The 3336-nt window shown below is 48.4% G+C and overlaps 1 annotated feature.

Annotated features, from left to right (window-relative positions):
- Window positions 5-299: a silencer, noted in NCBI's record as "tiled region #15195; HepG2 Repressive non-DNase unmatched - State 10:DNaseD". NCBI's record gives its function as "represses a minimal TATA promoter and a strong SV40 promoter by Sharpr-MPRA in HepG2 cells {active_cell/tissue: HepG2}" and the evidence as "EXISTENCE:reporter gene assay evidence [ECO:0000049][PMID:27701403]".

Below are 3336 nucleotides of genomic sequence, written 5' to 3' on the forward strand. Positions count from 1 at the left end.
GGCGAATGGAGCGGGGGGGGGGGGGGGCTCCGGGAGGGCGGGGGAAGTGTGAAGTAGCTCTTAAGTGGAGTGGGGGAGGGTTAGAAAAGACGGTGACAGGCGGTGCTAAGCAGAGACCAGAATCTGGAAGGGTGCCAGGTTGTGGGTGTGGGGGAGGGGGCTGTTCCGCCGCAGCTGCAGCTACAGCCAGGAGGTGAGGGTGAGGAAGCTGGAGGGAGGCATGACTTTTGGAGTGGGCGGGCTCACCGGGAGGATGACCAACTAGATGGTCCAGATTGCCTGGAAATGGAAAGTCCCTCATCCCAGGAATGCCTGAGGCCAAACAAACCAGTAGAGTTGGTCACCTACTGCAGAGTGATGAAACCCTGGCCCCCACGGGGGTGAGCGTGCTGGCTTTGTGATCGGCGCTAGGATGCAGGCTGGGGGTGGTGTGGGGGTGTAAGGGTAGCCTGGACACTCAGGAAATAGGACTGGGGGGTTGGGAGGGAGGTTAAGGACCTAAGGGTGTCACTCACCTGTCTTCCTGGTTCCTGAATAGTGCCTGGCCTTCCACCAGGCACTAAATATTTTTCCAGAGACTGTGAAACCAGACATTCTTACTACTTTTAATTTTTGCCATAGTCACATAGCTTCTGCGTTAACGTAATATTCTTTAAAATCAGCTCTTTAACAAGTATGTCTAAAAGGAAACACCCTTTACCCTATATGGACAAAAAGAAACCACACAGAGCCCCACCACCAAGCATATATTGGCGGCTAACTGGATCTGCTGCTTGACAAGGGAACTGCGGTGCCCAGGGCTGCTGTCTGTCTGTTACCCTGGGAGATGAGTCGGCTTGAGAGAGGCATGGACGATGTGCTCGCACCCAACGGAGCCCTTTCTCCTTGAGCTGCTGAGAAGAATGGGGCTTGAAAGAGGGACAGCTTTGCTGTGTGACTGAATTCCATGTTCCTTTACTACCTGCGATCATCTTGCTTCCCTCACTTCGGAAAATGCTGTGATAAAGTGATTGAGACTATAGGTTCTCTTAGTGTTCTTAAGAGTCAATAACAGCTGTGCATTTATTATTTTATTTTTTCAGGCTGAGTCTTGCTCTGTTGTCCAAGCTGGGGTACAGTGGTGTGATTTTGCAGTGAGCTGCAGCCTCAACCTCTGGGGCTCAAGCGATCTTCCCACCTCAGCCTCCTGAGTAGCTGGGATTACAGGTGTGAACCGCCGCACCCAGCCTCAGCTGTGCGTTTAAATACCAAGATGTCATTTGGGTGGCATTTTTGGGGGGTCATGTATAGGCTTAGAGAATGTTGCAGCTGAAAAGATCCCTGAGGACTCAATTGATCTGACACCCCCCCATCTCTGCTTCCTTCCTTCCTTTTTTAAAGGAAGGGAAGTAGAAACTGAAGCCCACAGAGGGCAGAGACTTAGCCAGAGCCTCGGAAACAGAGCTGGGACTAACCCCCACCCTCCTAGCTCGGCCAGCAGACCCGGTTAGCTACTTCTCCCACTTTCTCCGCACTTGGCCTTCGGAGACTATTTTGCTGCTTGATTTCTGATTTCTTGTCAGCTGTGATTAATGAGGAAATCTCCTGCATACACGATTTTCAGCTGTACCCGGTTTACGGCAAACAGATTAGATCATTTAAGTCAGAATAATACTATTTAGCAAAGCTGGATTTAGAGCTGGCAGAAATTAAGATTAAAGATAAAAAAAATAGAGTGAGAATCATAGATCAACACCTGAAAAATCTTGCTGCCTGTACACATCCCTAATTGAGAAGTATGTGAAAGATTCCATCCGTGAAATTCAATTATCATGCAAGCCAGAGGAAGTGGCTTCCCTGGGGAAAAAAACCAGGCAGCCCAAATCAAAACAGCCCCACCTGTCTGTTTTCGTGTCAAAAGAGTGAGAAAGCCTGCCTGGCTGATGATGAAATATGGACGATATGCATCAACTTGATGAAAATGTCCAGGGGTCCCTTTCTATAATGGGATTATCTCTCGAGCTCCTCCATCAGAAGTTAGCCTGGAAAAACGTTTGAGGCTTCATAGATACTGAGGGCAGACTGGCACCTGCACCCCATTCCTGACACCCTTTCTCCCAGCTTCAGAGTGGGTGGGACTGGATGGAACTGGAAGACAAAAGGAGCTCTCAAGCCCTGAGCCCCTTCCATGGATGAGGGGCTTCTTAACTGGAGCAATCAGCAGGAAAATCTCACAACTGTAATGATTACAAATGAGCCAGTGGTAATTGACCCGCCTTTTAACTGCAAGGAGGGATGCAGGGTTGGGGCGGGGGTTCTTCAGCACTTGCTTTGTCTCTCGGATTCCAGAGAGATTCACACTGCAATCCTGGATCTGCAGAAGAGCTGGATGGAGTTTCTTTTTGGTTAACTGCTGTGCGTGGTCATGGTGGTAAATACAGGCTTATTCCCCTCTGGGGCTTAGAGGCGTACAATTTGCAAAGTGCTTTCACATTCATCAACTCAGAACATTCGACTCAGAAAACCCTGAGATAATGTTTCCCATTATACAGATGAAGAGGCGGAGGTTAAACGATTGGCTTCATCTGTTTGAAAAATCCGTGCTGGATTCCGATCTAATGTGTGTTTGGTGCTACGCTGGTCCATTTAGAGAAAGGCGCCATCTCAGTCTCTCAGGAGCAGGCATTCTGGTGGGGAGGATTAGACGCTGACTTATGTGATCATCACCGAAGGTCAAATGTGATAGGGCCATCGGGGAGGGGTGCTTAGGGAGAGGTCAAAGATGAAAAAGACTGCTTGATGGAGAAACCCTCCCCAAGGGCCAGGGCCAAGCCTGTCTCTACGGCAGTTGTAGCTCCAGTACTTGGCACAAAGCAGGTTTCAAAAGCATCAGTTGAATAAATGAATGAATGAATGAATGATAGTGGTGCCTCTTAAGATAGACCTTAAAGGATGTAAAGAATTTGGGGAATTTGAAGAAAAGCAAGTAAGTTGGGAATTATTACCGGGAGAATAGAGGAAGTAAATCGTAGGATATCAAAATTGCAATAATATTGGGTTTGCTGAATCTGTGCTGAGTATGAACAAGCTCTGGCTGATGTTAACAATGTGGTTTTGCTAATCCCTGCTGCATTGTCTCATGGATGGTGACAGTCAGGTCTCTCCTTCACACTCCTCCCTCTTCTCCCAAAGTCACTGGGAAAATTGCTTTGCAGACCATCTGTGCCTCTTTGAGTGACTTAGAGGTTTCAAATTAGTTTCTCCAGGTATTATTTTGAATTCTAGTGGCTTGCTCCAGATCAGGGCAGGACTAAGGGGAGAGGAGAGATGCTCAGGAGGGGGAGAAATATCTGAGTT

This window comes from Homo sapiens, chromosome 9 (assembly GCF_000001405.40).
Source record: "Homo sapiens chromosome 9, GRCh38.p14 Primary Assembly".
In the NCBI taxonomy this organism is placed as follows: Eukaryota; Metazoa; Chordata; class Mammalia; order Primates; family Hominidae; genus Homo; species Homo sapiens.